Raw genomic sequence first — 20,014 nt, 5'->3', positions numbered from 1 at the left:
AAAAGTATTTTTAATTTTATGTAGTAGTAGGAACTTAAATGAATTTGCAAGAAAAACACAACCCTATTAAAAAGTGGGCAAAGAACATCAACAGACACTTATCAAAAGAAGACACACATGCAGCCAACAAACACGAAAAACAGCTCAACAGCACTGATCATTAGGGAAATGCAAATCAAAATCACAGTGAGATACCATCTCACACCAGTCAGAATGGCTATTACTAAAAAGTCAAAAACTGGTAGTGGGCTTTGGTTGCTTTTTGCGTTTCTCTAATGATTAGTGATGTTGAGCTTTTTTTCAACCTACCTCCTATCTCTTTCTCCCTCGCTGTCCCCGTGTGTGTCTTTCCTGGACCCTGAACTTCTTTGCTTGGCATCCTCAGGGTTGGTGCATCCAGAGACTGACCTGCTGGACTACTTTGCCTGCGGACAGAGTTGCTTTCTGTCTTCTCAGTCTCAGCAACACTGGATTTGCCCATCTTTCCAAGTTTTGCCACACTGATGAGATAAAAATAATATTTCATCTTTTTGTTTAAGATAAATTTCTTGATTACTTATAAGAAGACTGAATATCATTCCCAATGTTTATTGGCCATGTGATCATTTCCTTTTCTGTGAATTGTCCATTAATCTATTAGAATGTGGTTTTCTTACTAATTTATACATTTTCATAAATAAATTCTTTTCTTCAACTTTTATTTTAAGTTCAGGGGTACACATAAAGGATATGCAGGTTTCTTACTTAGATAAACGTGTGCCATGGTGGTTTGCTGCACAGATCATCCCATCACCTAGGTATTAAGCCCAGCATCCATGAGCTATTCTTCCTGATGCTGTCCCTCCCCCTATCCCCCAGACAGGCATGTGTGTGTTGTTCCCTTCACTCCCTGCCTCTGTGTGTCCATGTGTTCTTGTCATTCAGCTCCCACTAATAAGTGAGAACATGTGGTGTTTGGTTTTCCGTTCCTACATTTGTTTGCTGAGGATAACAGCTTTCAGCTCCATACATATCCCTGCAAAGGACATGGCTGCATAGTATTCCACAGTGTATATGTACCACATTTTCTTTATTCAGTCTATCATTGATGGGCATTTGGTTGATTCCATGTCTTTGCCGTTGTGAATAGTGCTGCAATGAACATATGCATGCCTGTATCTTTATAATAGAACGATTTATATTCCTTTAGGTATATATCAAGTAATGGGATTGCTGCCTCTAGGTCTTTGAGGAATCACCACACTGTCTTCCACAATGGTTGAACTAATTTACATTCCCATCAACAGTGTAAAAGTGTTACTTTTTCTGTGCAACCTCGCCAGCATCTGTTGTTTTTTGACTTTTTGGTAATAGCCATTCTGACTGGCGTGAGGTGGTATTTCATTGTGATTTTGGTTTGCATTTCTCTAATGATCAGTGATGTTGAGCTTTTTTACATATGTTTGTTGGCTGCATGTGTGTCTTCTTTTGATAAGTGTCTGTTCATGTCCTTTGCCCACTTTTTAATAGGATTTTTTTCCTTGCAAATTTGTTTAAATTCCTACTACTATATAAAATTAAAAATACTTTTTCCTAATCTGCATCTTTTCTTTTAAATTGTTTACAGTAGTTTTCACAGTACAAAAAAAACTAAATTTCAGGTAGTCAAACCTATTGATCTTTCTTTTTGGTACCTGAGTTTTATATCTTGATTAGGAAAACCATTAAACAAATGACTATTACCCTGTAATTATTTGTTGTTGCTTTTGTTTTACAGTTTTAAAGTCTTAGATCTTAAACTAGCTGAAATTTACTTTTGTGTGTGATATAAAATTGGGGTCTATGTTTATTTTTTTTCCTAAATGGATGGCCAATTTCCCCAATTTTAAACAATCCATCTTTTCTCTACTTGTTTCAATACCACCTTTGTCATAGACTAAATTCTGAACTCTAATCTCTTTCCTTCCTTCCTTCCTTCGTTCCTTCCTCCCTCCCTCTCTCCCTCCCTCCCTCTCTCCCTTTCTTTCTTTCTTTTTCTTTGTTTCTTTCCTCTTTCTTTCTCTCTTTCTTTCTTCTTTTTTTTTTCAGAGTTTCTGTCGTCCAGGCTGGAGTGCTGGAGTGTAGTGGTATGATCTTGGCTCACTGTCACTGCAACCTCTGCCTCCCAGGTTCAAGCGATTCTCCTGCCTCAGCCTCTAGAGGAGCTGGGATTACAGGTGCCCACCACCTCGCCCGGCTAATTTTTGTATTTTTAGTACAGATGGAGTTTCACCATGTCGGACAGGCTGGTCTTGAATTCCTGATCTCTGATGATCCACCTGCCTCGGCCTCCCAAAGTGCTGGGATTACAGGCGTGAGCCACCGTGCCCGGCTTCCAATTTATTTCATATATCTCTCATTTCTATAACAGCATTATTTAGTAATGTTACCTTTTAATAGTTTTTAATGTCTGGTAGGGTGTTTAGTAAATCTGAGTGTTTTGTTCTTTTACTTCACTAAATGAAATTTAGAATCAGTCTGTTAAATTCCATGAAAATTGACATTGAACTAAGTTATTTGATTTTTATGAAGGGAACTGATATCTCTACAATATTGAGTACATAACGTGGAAAAATAGGATGTCTCTCCATTTATTTAGTCTTCCACACTAAATGTTTTAGTGTTTTCCTCCATATAGGCTTTGCATGGTTTTTTAAAGTTATGACTAGGTATTTTATAATATTTTTCATTATTGTTAATAGGATTTTTTCAATATATTTTCTAATTAGTTATTGCTACAGTAAGGGGAAGCTAGCTCTTTTATATGTTCACCTTGTATCTTACTATCTTATTGACTTCTTCTTCTTCTTTTTTTTTTTTTTAAGACAGAGTTTCACTCTTGTTGCCCAGGCTAGAGTGCAGTGGCGTGATCTGGGCTCACTGCAACCTCCCCTTCCCAGGCTGAAGTGGTTCTCCTGCCTCAGCCTCTTGAATAGCTGGTATTACAGGCACCAGCCACATGACTGGCTAATTTTTTCTATTTTTAGTAGAGATGGGGTTTCACCATGTTGGTCAGGCTGGTCTTGAACTCCCAACCTCTGGTAATCCACCCACCTTGGCCTCCCAAAGTGCTGGGATTACAGGAGTGAGCCACTGCACCCAACCTAGCTTATCGATTTGTATTATAACTAGGAGTTTTCCAGTCAATTGTCTTGGGTTTTCTAGGTAGAACATCGTATCTGTATGTTTGCTTATATTTGAAGAACTGGAATTTGCCTTTATTAATCAAGTATACTTTTTGTTACATTCTATTTTTTAACCTCTAATTTTACTTTTAGTAATTCCTCCCTTAGACTTTCTTTAGATTTATTTTATTGTCCTTGTTTCTAGTTTCTGCAATCAAATGACACTAATTTATTTGCAAATTAATTTGAAACTAAATTTTCCTTTGGATGCTGGTTTGACTACATGCCTTAGGTTTTATTATGTACTGTCTGATTTTTATTTATTTCACATTTGGTATATTCAGTCTTGACTTCTTTTTCTGAAATCCCTGAGAGATATTTAGAAGAGTGTTTTTAATTTTCTAGTCCGGGCACGGTGGCTCACACCTGTAATCCCAGAACTTTGGGAGGCGGGTGGATCATGAGGTCAAGAGATTGAGACCATCCTGTCCAACATGGTGACTCTACTAAAAATACAAAAATTAGTTGGGCCTGGTGGCACGCGCCTGTAGTCTCAGCTACTCAGGAGGCTGAGGCAGGAGAATCGCTTGAACCCGGGAAGTGCAGGTTGCAGTGAGCTGAGATCGCACCATTGCATTCCAGCCTGGTGACTCCATCTCAAAACAAAAATTTTTTTAATTATCTAAGTGATTAGATTTCTTAGGTTGCCTTAGTTATTAATTCTAGTTGCAATCAGAGGATGTATTGTGAGTTCTTTTATCCTTATTTGTTGGTTTTACTCCCTTCTATGTTTTAACACTATATTATTAAGGTGCAGAAAGGCTTAAGACTTTTGTAACGTCTCAGTGAGTTGGACCTTTTATTGCTGTAACTCTTTCTGTTTAGTTAGTATCTGATCTAATACTATCACATCTATTTTCTTTTGGTTAGTATTTTCCTATATATATTTTCCTATTCTTTACTTTCAAGCTGTTCTTATCCTTTCATTTTAGGTAGGACTCTTATAAATACCATATAACTAAATTTTTAAAAATATCTCCCCCTTTTTTTTTGAGACGGAGTGTCACTGTGTCACCCAGGCTGGAGTGCAGTGGCACTATCTTGGCTAGTTGCAACCTCCGCCTTCCGGGTTCAAGCGAAAAATCTCTCCCTGTTATGGCTGTATTACTGATACATTTGGTCATAGTCCTGCCATCCTGTTTTGTTGTTTTTTATTACGTTTCCTTGTTTCCTTTACTGTTTCTTCTTTAGCTTGGTTGACTGTTTTCTTTTTAGCCATTAGTGGTTTGAAAAATATTCTTTCTGTTTTTATTCCTTCTTTAAGCATGTATTTAAACATTTTACTCAACACATTTAAAGATATGTTTCTATCAATGCTGAGAATTAATCAGTACATATTACTATCCTGACGCTTTATCATGTCTTTCTTCCCTCTCCATGCACCAACTGCCTCTACCCACTCCCAAGTTTTGTTGAAATCTGGAATTTAACAGATGGAATTCTTTCTTAACAATGCATTAAGCTTTATAGCCATATTTTCAGTAACACTTTGGGCTCAAATTTTACTAGTTTCTTTGCGCAACACTGTTTGATATTTCCCTTTCTTCAGCTCATTTTTCGTATTGTTGGAGTATAGCCTCTAGAGAATCTTTCAAAAAGACTTCATGGAGAGAAATTTTCTGAGTTCTTGTCCATCTAGGAATAATTTCTATTTTGTACTTAAATCACTTTTTGTCTAAGTACAAAATTCTAGATTAGAAATTAATTTTTTCTGCAGAACTTGGTGATACCATGTTTTATATAATTTTATATTCATTGCATTTGAGAAGTTCAATGTCCATTTATTTCTTCTTCCTTTGAAGTTAAACTAGGGGTATTTTATTTCTCTTTGAATTTTTTTCTTTAATCTCTCCCTTATTCCTTATTTTTATTTTTTATTTCATCAATATGTCTTTTCCCAAATACCCCTCACTTGCTCCCACATTTCTTTTCAGTATTTCATGGGCCCTTTTATATGAAGAATTCAGACTTTCTTTTAGCTTTGAAAGTGTTTTGTATAATTCGTATGATTATTTTCTCTATCCATTCACCTTCTGGATATAGTTTGAGACAGAGGTTGAAACTTCTTGTTCTGTTTTTTTGTGTTCAGGTTTTTATCTTTCACATTTCAACTTCCGGAATTTCGCACTGTGTTCAAGGTGGATCACTTGCCTCAGTATTCCAGTTTATTAAAGTACTCTCCAGTTCTATGCATTTTATAATCAATCCATCTATTTTAGGGTTTTCTTCACTTGGAAAAAGTTATAAACCATGGCAAATTACAGAAGCAACTGTATAAGTCCGTTTTCACCTTGCTGTAAAGAATTACCTAAGACTGGGTAATTTATGAAGAAGGAAGTTTTAATTGACTTACAGTTCTGCATGACTGGGAAGGCCTCAGGAAACTTACAATCATGGCAGAAGGGGAAGCAAGGATCTTCACATGGCAGCAGGAGGGAGAGCTAGCTGGGGGGAAGTGCTACACTTTAAAACCATTAGCTCTTGTGAGAACTCACTCACTACCGTGAGAATAGCAAGGGAGAAATCTGCCCCCATGATCCAGTCATCTCCCACCAGGCCCCTCCTCTGACACGTGGGGATTACAATTTGAGATGAGATTTGATTGGGGACACAGAGCCAAACCATATCAATAACATAGCAAACACCCATGTACCCATTACTGAGAAATAATTAGCATTAACATTTTGTCACATTTGCTTTGGTTCCATTTTAATAAAATAAATAAAATATTACTGATAAAATTGCAGTCCCTTTTGTTCACTTTGCTACTACTTTTTGCCCATTGTCCCCAAAGGAATTGCTATCATCAACATTATGCACACTTTTCCATTTATTTTGGCTATAAAAATATGTGTGTGTGTGTGTGTGTGTGTATACACACACATACACATATATACATATATGCACATATATATACGTATATACATATATAGATATATATACATATAGATAGATGATAGATAGATAGATAGATAGATAGATAGATAGATAGATAGATAGATAGATATAGATATAGATATAGATATATTCCACCATCCTCTGGTCTTTTTCTTTTTTTTCTTAAGACAGTGTCTCACTCTGTCATCCAGGCTGGTGCTATCATGGCTCACTGTAGCCTCAATCTCCCAGGCTCAGGTTCCCACCTGCAAGGTTTATCTTATAGCTTCCGGTATAGCTAAGTTGCCTGCTGAAATTCCCACTGGTAACATAAAGGCAAGGCTGATCCCCCTTCTTCAGTGTTTTTGAGTTGGAGTCTTGCTCTGTCACCCAGGCTGGAGTACAGTGGCACAATCACTGCAGCCTCAAACTCCTGGGCTCAAGTGATCCTCCCACTTCAGCCTCCTGAGGAGCTGGGACTACCGGCATGCACCAATATGCCGGGCTCATTTTTAAATTTTTTGTAGAGATAGAGTCTCACTATGTTGCCCAGGCTGCTCACCTATTTTAAAGGAAAAATATGTTTATCAGATTGAGGAGGCTTAACCTCCCACCTCAGCCTCCTGAGTAGCTGGGACTACAGGTATGAACCACCATGCCTGGCTAATTTTTCATAGAGACAGTGTTTCATTATGTTGCCCAGGCTGTTTTCAAATTTCTGGCCTCAAATGACCCTTTTGCCTTGACCTCCCAAAGTACTGGAATTATAGGCATGAGCCACCACACCCGGCCGCCTACAGTCTTTCACAGTTTTTTAAAAAATGTATTTTAAGATAAAAATATTTTAAGTAAATATTGAATTTACTTTTCTTAAGCTAGCTTTTTCACTCAACAATATGTTTTGGGAAATTTACTTAGATTGTTGCATATCTGGTTGATTTAAATAAACATGGTCTTTCTTCATTTAAATGAACGAGATATGCAACAATCTAAGTAAATAATAGAGCTTTGTAGGAATATGTGCAATGAATGTATCCACCCTACGAATGATGGACATCAAAGTTGCTTCTAGGTTTTCTGTTATTAGAAGCTGTACAGCAGAGAACACAATGTGTATTTGTGCTTGTGTGAGAGTTTCTCTGAGGCTTATACCTGGGGAATTGCTGAGTCAAATCATATGCACATAATAAACTGATTAGAAAAAGCTTAACAGTTTTTGTAATAAATTATTAGAAAAACTAATAAATTTATTAGAAAAACTTGTTTTTCTAATAAATTTATTATGTACATAATATTTGAGCATAAACAAACTGTCGTTATGTCAAACCAACAGTGTTTGAGAATCTGTGGCTCCCACAACTTCACCAAGACTAGATATTATCAAACTTTTTCACTTGGGCAATCTGATGGATGGAAATTGTATCTTCTATAGGGCTTTCAATTTTATTATTCATAATGTTAGTTTTCAAGAACTCTGAGTACGACTTTTTATAGAGGCTCTGTTTATCTCTCTCTCTCTCTCTCTCTCTCTCTCGCTCTCATCTATCTGGATATGCTACTGTTTCAAATGTGTTTGACAATACTAATTACATTTATTGTAAAGTGTTTCTCCCTCTGCTTCCCCATTGTAAGAATTCTGTTTCTTCAGATGTAAATTTCTCTGGAGGTGGAGTTGGTGCTTTCCTTTTCCTTTTCTGTTTTTCTAAAACTTTTGGTGAATCTTGGCCACCTACTGGTCCAGATTACTCTGGCTGGAATGGACTCCTCAGATCCTGTGGGAATCCCTGTGCGTTTGACTGGGCATGCAGGTGCTGGGTAGAAGAACCTGGCTCTACTGCCCGTGTGGGCCAAGGGAGAGGTGTATGTGAGGGGTTTGTGTTGCGAACGTGAGGTTTCCTCTCTACTCTGGTGGCCACGGACAACTGGGGCCCTGCCCGGCTCCTCCCACCTCTGAGGCTCCTTTGGGAGTCTCCGTTCATCAGAAGCCCGTACTAGTCTGGTCACCCTCGCATGGTCCAGCTCTTCCTCCACCTGCTACTAGTAGTCTTGGTGCTTGCATTGGTTTGCTAGGGCTGCAGAACAAATACCACAGACTGGTGTTTGGTATTTCACAGCTGAGTGGCTTTCACAACAGAAATCACTTTCTCACGATTCTGGAGATTAGCTGTCTGAGATCAAAGTGTTGATAAAGTTCATTTCTTCTGAGGTTTCTTTCCTTGGCTTGCAGATGGCGACTTCTCTATCTTCACACGATCTTCCACTGTGTGTGTCTGTGGCCTCATGTCCTCTTCTTATAAGGATCCCAGTCATATTGCACTGGGGCCTACACTACTGACTGCATTTTAACTTAATCACCTCTTTAAAGGCCCTGTTAGTCTCCAAATGCAGTCCCATTCTTAGGTACTGGGGGCTGAGGCTTCAATGTATGAATTTGTCGAGCAGCGGATGGGTGGGGAGAGGGCACAAGTTAGCCCATTAACAATGCTATTCTAGGGTTCTGATAGAATAAAGTCTTTTTTTGTGGAAGGACTCCCATTTTCCTATCTTATTTATGCCATAGCATACAAACCAGACAGTTTCATATGAACATTAGCTAATTTATTTAACTGGATCCTGCGATTAGATATTTAGTAAACTTCTTGCGGCTAAATGCATGTCCATAATTATTTCTCCTATACAAGTTTTCGTAATTCAAATTAGCTAGGATGTGATCGATGAATTAAGGAAACTTATTTGCATTATAAGGATTACTATTGTTTACAACTCAGTTACTTAATAAGAATCAACACCAAACATGAAAGGAGGGGAAACTATTGAACAATTGAAATGAACCAAGAGTGTGCCGGGTGCTGGTAAGGGTGTCTTTTTTGATCTGGGTGCTGGTGATACGGATATGTCCAGTTGGTAAAAATGCATTGAGCTATCTGCTTATAATACGTGCATGTTTCTATATGGATGCTATACTTCAAAGAAAAGTAAAAGGGAACGTGTTGAATGGCAGCATAGAAACAGTGCCTTTGAGTACTGGTTGCTCAGTTAGCATTGCATTTTTTAAAACAGTTACGAATTATATGCTGTGTGGCCAATGGTCTGGGGGTTTTCAACTCCAGCTACACGTTAGAATCATCTAGAGATGTGTTTTAAAAATACTGCTGTCCAGCCCTGCTCCAGATCAGCTAAATCAGAATCCCTGAGGGCGGAGCTCCACATCAGTATTTTTACAAAGCTTCCCAGTGGTTCTAACGTGCAGCCAGGTTGGCGCACCACTGGCCTAGAAATGCAGTTATTTTGATCACCTGTATTTTTTTCAGATTTGATCTGTGATTTCAGATTCTGTGGTCAATTTAGGTCAATTGATTTATTTTGCAATAATAGAAATGCACATATAGTTAAGATATACTTTATTAACAAAATTCCTGCAGGAAAAAGAAATCGCTTTTTACTGTGAATGTGAAACCTTTTACTATCTACCCAACTCCTTTTTCAAAATATATAAATCATCAAAACAACTCCTTAATTTAATTAGGCCATTTTTGTAAGTTTGGGAATGTGATTATTGGGTTGTAGTGGAATGCAGAGTATTTCTTTAGGATGCATTCTTGGGAGTAAACTTGTCGGTTCAAATGAAAGGTTTATCTTACAGCTTCTGGTACAGCTAAGTTGCCTGCTGAAATTCCCACTGGTAACATAAAGGTAAGGCTGATCCCCCTTCTTCCTTTATATTGAGTTGGAGTCTTGCTCTCTCACCCAAGCTGGAGTACAGTGGCAAGATGGCTGCAGCCTCAAACTTTTGGGCTTAAGTGATCCTCCCACTTCAGCCTCCCAAGGAGCTGGGACTAAAGGCATGCACCAATATGCTGGGCTCATTTTTAAATTTTTTGTAGAGATAGAGTCTCACGCTTTTGCCCAGGCTGCTTACCTTTTTTAAAGGAAAAATATTTTTATAACAAAAATTACAATTGTATGTAAAATATTAAAGAGAAAATGAAAACAACCTGAAATTCTGCCATCCAGATAATCATCCTTAACATGTTGGTGACCCTCTCCCCCCGTCGGGTTATAGACAGATTTATACGATATAAATGGAGGTGGTGAGTTGGACTCTTGACTATCTACCACCTGTGCCTTCTGAGCCATGGTAGTCAGGAGAGTGTCTTGAGCCTGGTACCAAGATTATTGTTAATTGTTAAAGAACTAGGGGTATAATCATTTCAGAAGATATACATATGTATCTTATTTTACATGCATACATACATATACAATTTATTTATATATACACACACAATTTTTTCTTATAGATTAAACAGAGTGGTCCTTGAGAATAAATGAAATTGGGCTATACTTCAAATGGTTTAGGAGAAAAGCAGCCCAGGTCTGTTTCTTTTTCCTCCCCGCTGCCATCTCCCATCCAGGCTCACCCCTCACTAGAACCAAGTAGAGTAGAAAACCATTGACTTCCACGGGCCCCTGAGGTCGTGGAATTTCAAGACACAGGAAGGGACTAGGGATCTGGGGACCTCCTCAATGGATGTTCTCGGCAGGTAACTCACATGGAATATAAACATCTAAAACATCTAAAAGCAAATTCATCATCTACCCATATGGATTTCGTCCAGGTCTTGGTCTATAGTGTTTCTCGGGCTCCTAAATGGCAGCTTCTGGTCGCCCTTGACCCTGCTTTGTCCCTAAGCAGAATCTGGCTACCATGTCCTGACCGATCCCACCTCAGAAATCTCTCTCCCCTCTGGCTGCTCCTCTCCAGGCCACATTCTGTTGGGTCTGACCTCACCTCTCTCCCATCGTCCTCTGTGCCACCCTCAGAGTCACCTTCCAAAACTGATCTCATCCTGCTTCAAAAGCTGCTTGGCTCCCTGGGGTCCTCAGGATCAAGATGAAGCCCCAGCTCAACAGTCAAGGCCCTTTGCCATCTGGGGCCGTTTATGTCTTCATTGCTTCTCTCATCACCTTCTGCACTCTGCAGCCCTGTAACACGCCCGGCTGTAAATAATTTTACAATGACACAGATGCTTGAGAGAGCCTGGCACAGCTCTGCCAATGTGCCAGGCTCTCTCAAGCATCTGTGTCTTTGCAGCGTGGCTCTTTGGGCTCAGAATGCCCTTTCTTACCTGGAGGAGTCATCCTGATCTTTCAAGACCTAGTTCAGATGTCACTGTCTTGGAACATTTCCCTTAACTCCCCTATACCTCCTATGGCCAGTCACGGAGACATGGGGGTTAGGGGCAGAAGGATCATTTGACCGGGGCCACACCTTCTTAAATCTGAACTTTTGAGGTCATCAGAATGGTGTGTGTCTACACATACACACACAAGGATAATACACTGACTGCACTGAAAAGCAAGAAGTTTCATCATTTGCCTTTGAATGTGTCTCATTACTCGATTACACTGACCACACTGCATCATACACTTGTAGTTATTTTAAAGTGATAAACTGACTCCATGATGACTGACACAATCACATTGGACTGTATTTTTAACTAAAAATCATTAATTTGCTAAATGCATATATTTGAAATATCCCCCAATTTTTGTATCTTTTTCTTGGCATTTTTGGCTTTTTTTTTTTTTTTTTTTTTTTTTTTTTTTTTTTTCCAGATGGAGTCTTGCTCTGTCACCCAGGCTGGAGTGCAATGGTGCAATTACAGCTCACTGCAGCCTCGAACTCCTGGGCTCAAGTGATCCTTCTGCCTCATCCTCTTGAGTAGCTGGGACTTACAGTCATGTACCACCATGCTCAGCTAATTTTTTTAAAAAAAAATCTTGTACAGATGGGGTTTCACTTTGTTGCCCAGGCTGGTCTTGAAATCCTGGCTTCAAATGATCCTCCCACCTTGGCCTCCCAAAGTGCTGGGATTACAGGTGGGAGCTACCATGCCCATGCTTTTTTCTCTAAATTTTTTTTTTAAATATGCCAAGAGAGTTAAAGTCTATGTAACTCCCCAGGTGGTCTCCTACAGAAGTCAAGATACATCTATCATGATGCTTACTGTGTTTGGTTGCAGCAAAACTGGGTTCTCCAGCAGGTTGAACTCCATGGGTTCAAGAGGAAAGAGCTTTACTTTCTCCCCTCACTGCCTTCCAACATGTCCTGTGATCTTTCCCTTCCCTACTGCTTAACTACATTTCATGCAGAGCCACAGATTTTCATTCACTTCCAGTGAGGAGAACAGCTTTATTTAGGGGGTAGTAAGAAGGCCAGTCCAGTATAGAACAAAACCTCAATCAGTCCAGCTCCATGAATCTCCTCTCCCAGTTCAGGCTTGCCAGTGGTTTGGGGATACTGTGGGGATGGGAACAGGGCCCAGCTCATTCTTCCTCCCAGTTGATCTTCTGCTCCTTCTCTTTCCCTAGCTAGGTTCTCCAGAGTTGGGAAGGGGAGAGGGGATTCGAAGGACAGCATCAGTGTCTTGCAGAGTTGGCACTCTAGTGATCTACGTGGCAAGCCCATCCTCAAAAGACTCTTGTGGAAGTTCTGGAGCCAGCTCCAGCTATGTACGGTGCACCAGGCTGAGACATCCTCTCTCTGACTTACAGTAGAATAGTTTGGTGGGCAGAGGGCTAGGGAATGGGTGTTACTGACTGGTTAGGGATGCAATCATAGCGGGGTGGAAAATGGTCCTCGTGCACTGAGCCCACTTCTGAGTGGGACCACAGGACTGGTTGAGAGGTTGAGTCTTGAGTCTCGGGTCTGGGTGGAGTTATTCAGTCCATCAGAAATGCGAAAGTCTGAAAAGGCATCTCAAAAGGCCAATCATGGCTTCTACAATAGTGATGTTATTTACAGGAATAATTGGGGAAGTTACAAATCTTGTGACCTCCAGACCAATGGCTGGCAATTATTTAACTACATCTACATTTTAGCAGAATTCAGTCCCCTCTTATAATCTTAAACTTGGGGGCTTTTATTAGTTTTATAAAGGCATTTAGTTTTGGGAAGGGCTAACATCATTTAAACTATAAACTAAATTTCTCCCAAAGTTAGCTTGGTCCACAGCCAGGCATGACCAAGGGCCATGTAGAGGTTAAAGGCAAGATGGAGTTGGTCAAGTCAGATCTCTTTCACTTTTCTAATGTTCTCACTGTTATAATTTTTGTAAAGGCAGTCTCAAGGGGTTCAACCTGGGTCTTACTGAACTAAAATCAAGGTGTCAGTGGGGCTGTTGCTTCTGGAGGCACTAGGGGAGAACGTATCTCCTGGCCCTTCCAGCTTCTAGAGCCTGCACTCCTTGACAGTGAATCCTCCACCAGGCCCATCTCTGAAGCCAGCAGGGTTGGATTTCTCCAGCCATTCTTCTGTCGTCACATCCCCCTCTCTGACAACAACAAGGAATGGTTCGCCAATGTGATTAGATTGGGTCCACCTGAAAAATCCCAGCTACTCCATCTTAAACTCCTTAACGCAAATCACATCTGCAAAGTCCCTTTTTTCATGTGAGATGGTATATTCACAGGTTCCAGGGACTAGAACATGGACATCTTTGTGGAGAGGGATGATACTTTTCTGTCTACCACAACCCATTGCTTGCATGAACCCTCCTGCAAATTTCTTGTTTTATGTAGGCTGGAGGAGGGCAACGGAGGTGAACACTGATGGAATGGACTCTGCCATGTTTCAGTAAATTCTTCAGGGGCTTGTCTGCAGCTCTTTTTAGAAAGTGGGGCACATATTGTCTGTCACCTTTAGCCTTAAGCCTTTTAAACCAGTATTCCAAGCATCCAGAAGTCACATTCCATGCATGAACTATGTGTGTGTTCCTCTCCTGCTCCAGGCTATGAGAGCCTTAAGGGCAGGGTCTGTTTCTCATAGTGCCTACAGCTAGTGAGCCTTCTGGAAAAGTTTGTTGCTCTAGGACAGAAAAGAGGGTAAAAAGGTTATCTAATTTATTGCTTAAAGGAATTAAGGATATATGACACTGGTCAAAACCCTGCTAAGTAAAGTATATTTATTTAAAAGAATAGGTGGACTTTACACAAACATTAGGCCACATTAACTTGCCAAGAAGGGACAGGGACTTGTGACCCTCCTGGACTGATGACGCTATCCTTGTTATTTAAATTAACATGCCAAGTGTGGGACAACACCTGACAGAATTCCAGCCACCCTTTGCAGAGAAGTTTTTCTGCACAGTGCACATCAATTTGCTGGGGACACACTTTTGGACTCCTGGTGTGGCCTACAGCATTAAATCTCATTTCTCCTCTTAAACAACAGCAAAGTTTACTGCAGGTAGATTATTTTCAGTGCTGCCTTCAGGGTCCTGGGAAGGTTGGAAACCCTTTACATACTGTTAACTCGCAATGGAATTGGGCATCAGAGCATTCAGACAAACTCACGCTCACCCTCCTATTGTCAGTTTTGGACACACTCGAGTTATAGAGTCATTTAAACAACTCTGACTGCTCCCTCTCATTTATGTTTGCCCCCCCAGGCAACCTGAAATTCCTCCTGTGAATTCTAAACAAAGCCCATGGAGGATGAGAAGTATGGGCTGGGGGCCAGATGGGGATGGAATCAGCCTTTCACATTCTACCTTCCTTATTTTAAATGCTGTGAATTCTGGAAATTTTGTCACACTCAGGTTTAAAACACAGTGAAGGCCAGGCATGGTGGTTCAAATCCCAGCACTTTGGGAGGCCAAGGCGGGCGGATCACTTGAGGTCAGGAGTTCAAGACGAGCCTGGCCAACATGGTGAAACCCTGTCTCTACTAAAATACAAAAATTAGCCGGGCATGGTGGCTAATCCAGCTACTGTAATCCCAGCTACTCCGGAAGCTGAGGCAGGAGAATCACTTGAACCCGGGAGGCAGAGGTTGCAGTGAGTCGAGATCATGCCACTGCACTGCAGCCTGGGTGACAGAGTGAGACTCCATTTCAAAAAACAAAACAAAACACAGTGAAAATCTCCAAATAATTCTGCGTGTGTGTGTGTATTTATTTATGCCATTTTTCCTCTTTATTTGGTGTACTATGATGAATAATGGCTTCCAAAGATATCAGACCCTAATCTCTGGAACCTTACATGTTATCTTATATGGTTTAAAAAAAATGACTTTGCTGGTGTAATTAGGCTAATGATCTTGAGATGGGAAGATGATTGCACCAGATTTTCACAGTGAGCTCTAAATGCAGTCACATGTATTCTTAGAAGAGGGAGGGAGAGGGAGATTTGGTTGCCACAGAAGAGGAGGCAGTGTGACCATGAGGCAGAGACTGGAGTGATGTGGCCACAAGCCAAGATGCCAGGAGCACTCAGAAGCAGGAAGAGGCAAGGAATGGATTCCCCACTGCAGTTTGCAGAGGAAGCTTGTCCCTGCCAGCATTTTGATTTCAGCCCAGAAACACTGGTTTTGAACATCTGGCTAGCAGAATTGTCAGATAATAAATCTCTGTGTTTAAAGGCATCAAATTTGTGGTAATCTGTGTCAGCAGCCTTAGTAAAGGAATGTATATAGCTGAGAACTCACCATACACATCATTCATTCAGTCAACAAATACTTACCCTAGGGCAGGTACATTAGAACCAGGGGCAGGCAGGAGAAGGCTAGGGAATGCTCACAGTCCCCATCCCACCATCACAGGCAAAATGTTCCAAAAGTGTGCATTTTTCTGCAAAGAAATTTTATAGTTTGCATCAGGCTCTAAAGGGTCCATGCCCTCTGAAAGTGGAGACCCCTTGATGTAAATCTCAGTGGTCAAAGTTTCTTAATTGGCTAAGTGACTCCCCGGTGTGAAACCTTGAAGACACTGTTGGTAAGAGAAGGAAGTTAATGGCATGATGTAAAAGGGCGTTCTCTATCTCTCTTAGTATAGACAAAGAGATAGTAATTTAAATATGGAATCATATTGTTTACATCTGAGAGATCATTTATTTACACAAATATTCACTGAGCACTTGCTATGTGCTGTCTGCTACTCTCAGGCATTGGGGATACAGTGGGGGAACAAAAAGGACCAAAAAGTCCTGCCCTCAGGAAGTGGACATTCTAATTACCAGCACAGACAAAAAAACAAATCGATATATGATAACTCAGGTGGCACTGAGTTGGGGGCAAAGGGGATAGAAGCTAGTGGTAGGCCTTGGGGGCATGCTGTCTTTACAGAATAGTCAAAGGAGGTTCCCTGCAAAGGTGACATGTGGGCAGAAACCTGAGGAAGGCAAGGGAATGAGCCATAAAGATCCACCGGGAAGAGAGTTCCAGACAGAAGGAAAAGCTCGTGCGAAGGCCTAGAGAGAAGAGCTTGGTTGCTAGGGGGACAGCAAGTAGGCAAATTGATTAAAACTAGTTGCTGATTTAGTTCAGCTGGTAAACAGACTAGCAATAAGCAGAAGGAAATCATTCCAATTGAAGAGATTTTTTTGGCTGGGCACGGTGGCTCATGCCTGTAATCCCAACATTTTGGGAGGCTGAGACAGGAGGATCCCTTGAGGCCTGGAGTTCAAGACCAGCCTGGGCAACATAGTAAGAACCCGTCTCTACAAAAAAATTTAAAACATAGCCAAGCATGGTGGCATGCACCTGTAGTCCCAACTACTTGGGAGGCTGAAGCAAGAGGATCGCTTGAGCACACGAGTTTGAGGCTGCAGTGAGCCATGATCATGCTACTGTACTCCAGCCTGGGTAACAGAGTGACACCTTGTCTCTAAAAAAATACAAATTAAAATTAAGATGGAGTTTTTTCCTAGTGATATTAGATATCAGTGACACTCATTAGAGGGTGACTCATCACCCAAAGGAAGAAAGGGAAGTTCTGTTGAATTATTTAGACTTTTTCTTAGGGAAGGAAGAAAACACACACACACACACACACACACACACACAAACACACACACACACACAGAATGTTGACAGGGAAAGTGAACTAAAGCAAACCAGAATCCAAAATGGGACGTGGACTTCTAGATAGATGTGAAGCAATAATGAATAGGCTCCAATAAAAGAGGTGAGATAGGGTGTTGGGTGTTTTGTCAGATATTTTTGTTTTGTTTTCAGTATTTTGTAACTGAGCCTCTGGACCATGTTTCCAACTTCCCTATTAAACAGCAATACACAGATAATAAGCAATTGTTCATGTTCAAGAGTTTCAGATAGACACAGGCCCTTGAAGTGTAGCTGAGGAACGTGACATGGAAAAAAGGCCTCTAAGTCTGGCAAGTTGGCCTTTGGAAGACCAATTCCAACGATCCAGAGAAGAGCGTGAAAAACATTGATCCCTCGAGGGCCTGGACCAGCAGAAATGAGATTTCCAGGGCCCTGGTCTCTGAAATGCTGTTAGGATGCCGTGCCCAGCAATTTGAAGGTAATAAAACTCTGATTCAATTCCACAAATGGAGACAACTGAGAGTCAGTAAAGGGTGGGTATTCAGAGCTTTGTGCTTGGAGGGAGAACAGACCTGGGCTGGGAGTGACTCTTCCTACCTTAGTGTCTGTGGTGGGATGGGGAGTGTTCCCCTAAAAATTCACGTCCACCCAGAATCTTAGAATGTGACCCTATTTGGAAACAGGGACTTTGTAGATGTCATTAGGTAAGATGAGGCCACATTGAATTAGGGTGGGCCCTAAATCCAATGACTACTGTCTTTATCCAAGAAAAGAGAGGGAAATTCAGATACGGAGACACAGACACAGACAAGGAGAGGGACACAAAACGACCGAGGCGGAAACTGGAGTGATGCAGCCACGAACCAAGGAATGCCAAGGATTGATAACAACCACCAGAAGGTTCGAAGAGGCAAGGAGGGACCCTCCCTTCAGCCTTCAGAGAGAATGTGGCCCCACCAACACCTGGATTTTGGACTTCCAGCCTCCAGACTGTGGGAGAACACATTTCTGTTGTTTTATGCCAGCAAGTGTGTGGCAGTTTGCTATGGCAACCCCGGGAAACTAATACAAGAGCTTCATTTGTCAGTTTCAGAAGAGAAGCTGACACCTTGTGCCCACCCTGTACCCAGCAAGGTGCTCAGAATCAACTGTGAGGGCAGCTCAGCTCTGCGTTAGTCCTTAGTTCATGGAGCGTTGTGGCAGTGACTGACAGGCCTGTGGTACAGGGGTCAGCCCATGGTGGGCACTCGGGAAACAGTAACCAAAAAGCCCCCAACAGCAACGTGGCTGATTTAGCTGGTTCATCTGGGGTCCAGCAGGCTTCCATTCTGGTGGGAGACTCTGACGATAAACAAATAAATTATACAGCTATGATGTGGGATGAGGTAGTGATCAGTGCTATGAAGGAAAATTACCCAGCATAAGGAGATAGAGAGGGATGGAGAGCAGGGACTCCATGCTGTTTTTAAATGGGGTGGTTGAGAAGGTGATATTTGAACAAGGACCTGAACACCAAGTGGGTGGCACACGGTAAGACCTCCGTCTTACCATGAGCTACTATCATTCACATTATTACTTTGTTCGTTCTTTTGAAACAGGCAGATGTGATGTAGAAAATGTAGTTCAGCCTGGGCGTGGTGGCTCCGCCTGTAATCCTAGCACTCTGGGAAGCTGAGGAGGGTGGATCACTTGAGGTCAGGAGTTTGAGACCAGCCTGGCCAACATGGTGAAACCTCGTCTTTACTAAAAATACAAAAAATTAGCTGGGCATGGTGGCAGGCACCTGTAGTTCCAGCTATGTGGAAGGCTGAGGGAGGAGAATCGCTTGAACCCGGGAGGCAGAGGTTGCAGTTAGCCGAGATTGTGCCATTGCAATCCAGCCTGGGCTACAAGAGTGAAACCCTGTCTCAAAAAAAGAGAAAAGAAAATGTGGTTCAAACCCAGCCTCTGTGAATAAACAATATGGCCTTCCCTGAGTCTCCTGGAAACAGAGGGTGGTGACAAAAAGGAAGATGAGCAGCCATCCCAGTTCGCCCAGGACTCAAGACTTTCAGGGCCAGACGGAGACAGCCCTAGGCCAACAGCTGCAGTGGGTTGCCCTGGCACTGTTGCCCCAGCAGGCACTAAGAGGGGTAGACAAGATGGCCCATGTGGATAACTGCCCCCTACACTGCCCCAGGCACACAAGTGCCCAAGGGATGCTCTTTGAGTCTGCGTGGAGTGGAGGCCTGTGTAGAGGAAGTGGGGATATTTGCCCATGCCTGCTGGGTCTGTCTGTTTTCTGACCCCAGACCAGAAGAGGCTACTGCAGAGCTCGGAAGGTTCTCTATTTTGCTTTGGGAAACAGCCCCTCAGAAGGAAGCTGGAGATGGAAGACCACCATTGCCAGCACCCTCTGGCACCCTCTTGCATCCTCTTTCTGCTCAGCGGTACCCTTATCATCCCTGGAGAGCATCCCAAATAGCTGATGCTGGGAAAGTTACCAGATGTCCCAGAGCCTCACGTTACTCATCTGCAAAAAGAGATAATGATACCCATTTGATGTGGTTTGGCTGTGTCCCCACCCAAATCTTGCCTTGAATTGTAGCTCCCACAATTCCCATGTGTCATGGGAGGGGCCTGGTGGGAGGTAATTGAATCATGGGGACGGGTCTTTCCCATGCTGTTCTCGTGATAATGAATAAGTCTCACAAGAGTTGATGGTTTTATAAAGGGGAGTTCCCCTGCACACGCTCTCTTGCCTGCCACCACGTAAGACATCCCTTTGCTCTTCCTTCATCTTCTGCCATGATTGTGAGGCCTCCCCCAGCCATGTGGAACTGTGACTCCATTATACCTCTATCCTTTATACGTTACCCAGTCTCTGGTATGTCTTTATTAGCAGCATAAAAACAGACTAATTCACCATCTGTTTTGGTCTGGGGTGGCTTGGGTAAAATAAATTATTTGCTTCACACATTTTTTTTTTGAGACAGAGTCTCGCTCTGTTGCCCAGGCTGGAGTGCAATCATGTGATCTTGACTCACTGCAACCTCTGCCTCCCAGGTTCAAGTGATTCTCCTGCTTCAGCCTCCCAAGTAGCTGAGATTAC

The 20,014-nt window shown here is 41.8% G+C and overlaps 1 long non-coding RNA gene across 1 annotated transcript in view; it reads right to left on the bottom strand.

Moving 5' to 3' along the window:
• Positions 1-296: 296 nt before the first annotated feature.
• Positions 297-20,014, bottom strand: part of LOC105370615 (uncharacterized) — a 41,084-nt gene continuing 21,366 nt past the window's right edge. The window contains exon 3 of the long non-coding RNA XR_944128.3: positions 297-500. This is a non-coding gene — a long non-coding RNA (uncharacterized LOC105370615). The remainder of the gene's footprint in view (positions 501-20,014) is intronic.

Source organism: Homo sapiens, chromosome 14 (assembly GCF_000001405.40).
Source record: "Homo sapiens chromosome 14, GRCh38.p14 Primary Assembly".
NCBI classification, from domain to species: Eukaryota; Metazoa; Chordata; class Mammalia; order Primates; family Hominidae; genus Homo; species Homo sapiens.
Note: the sequence above shows the minus strand (reverse complement) of the source record. Positions and strands in the feature narration are given on the sequence as shown.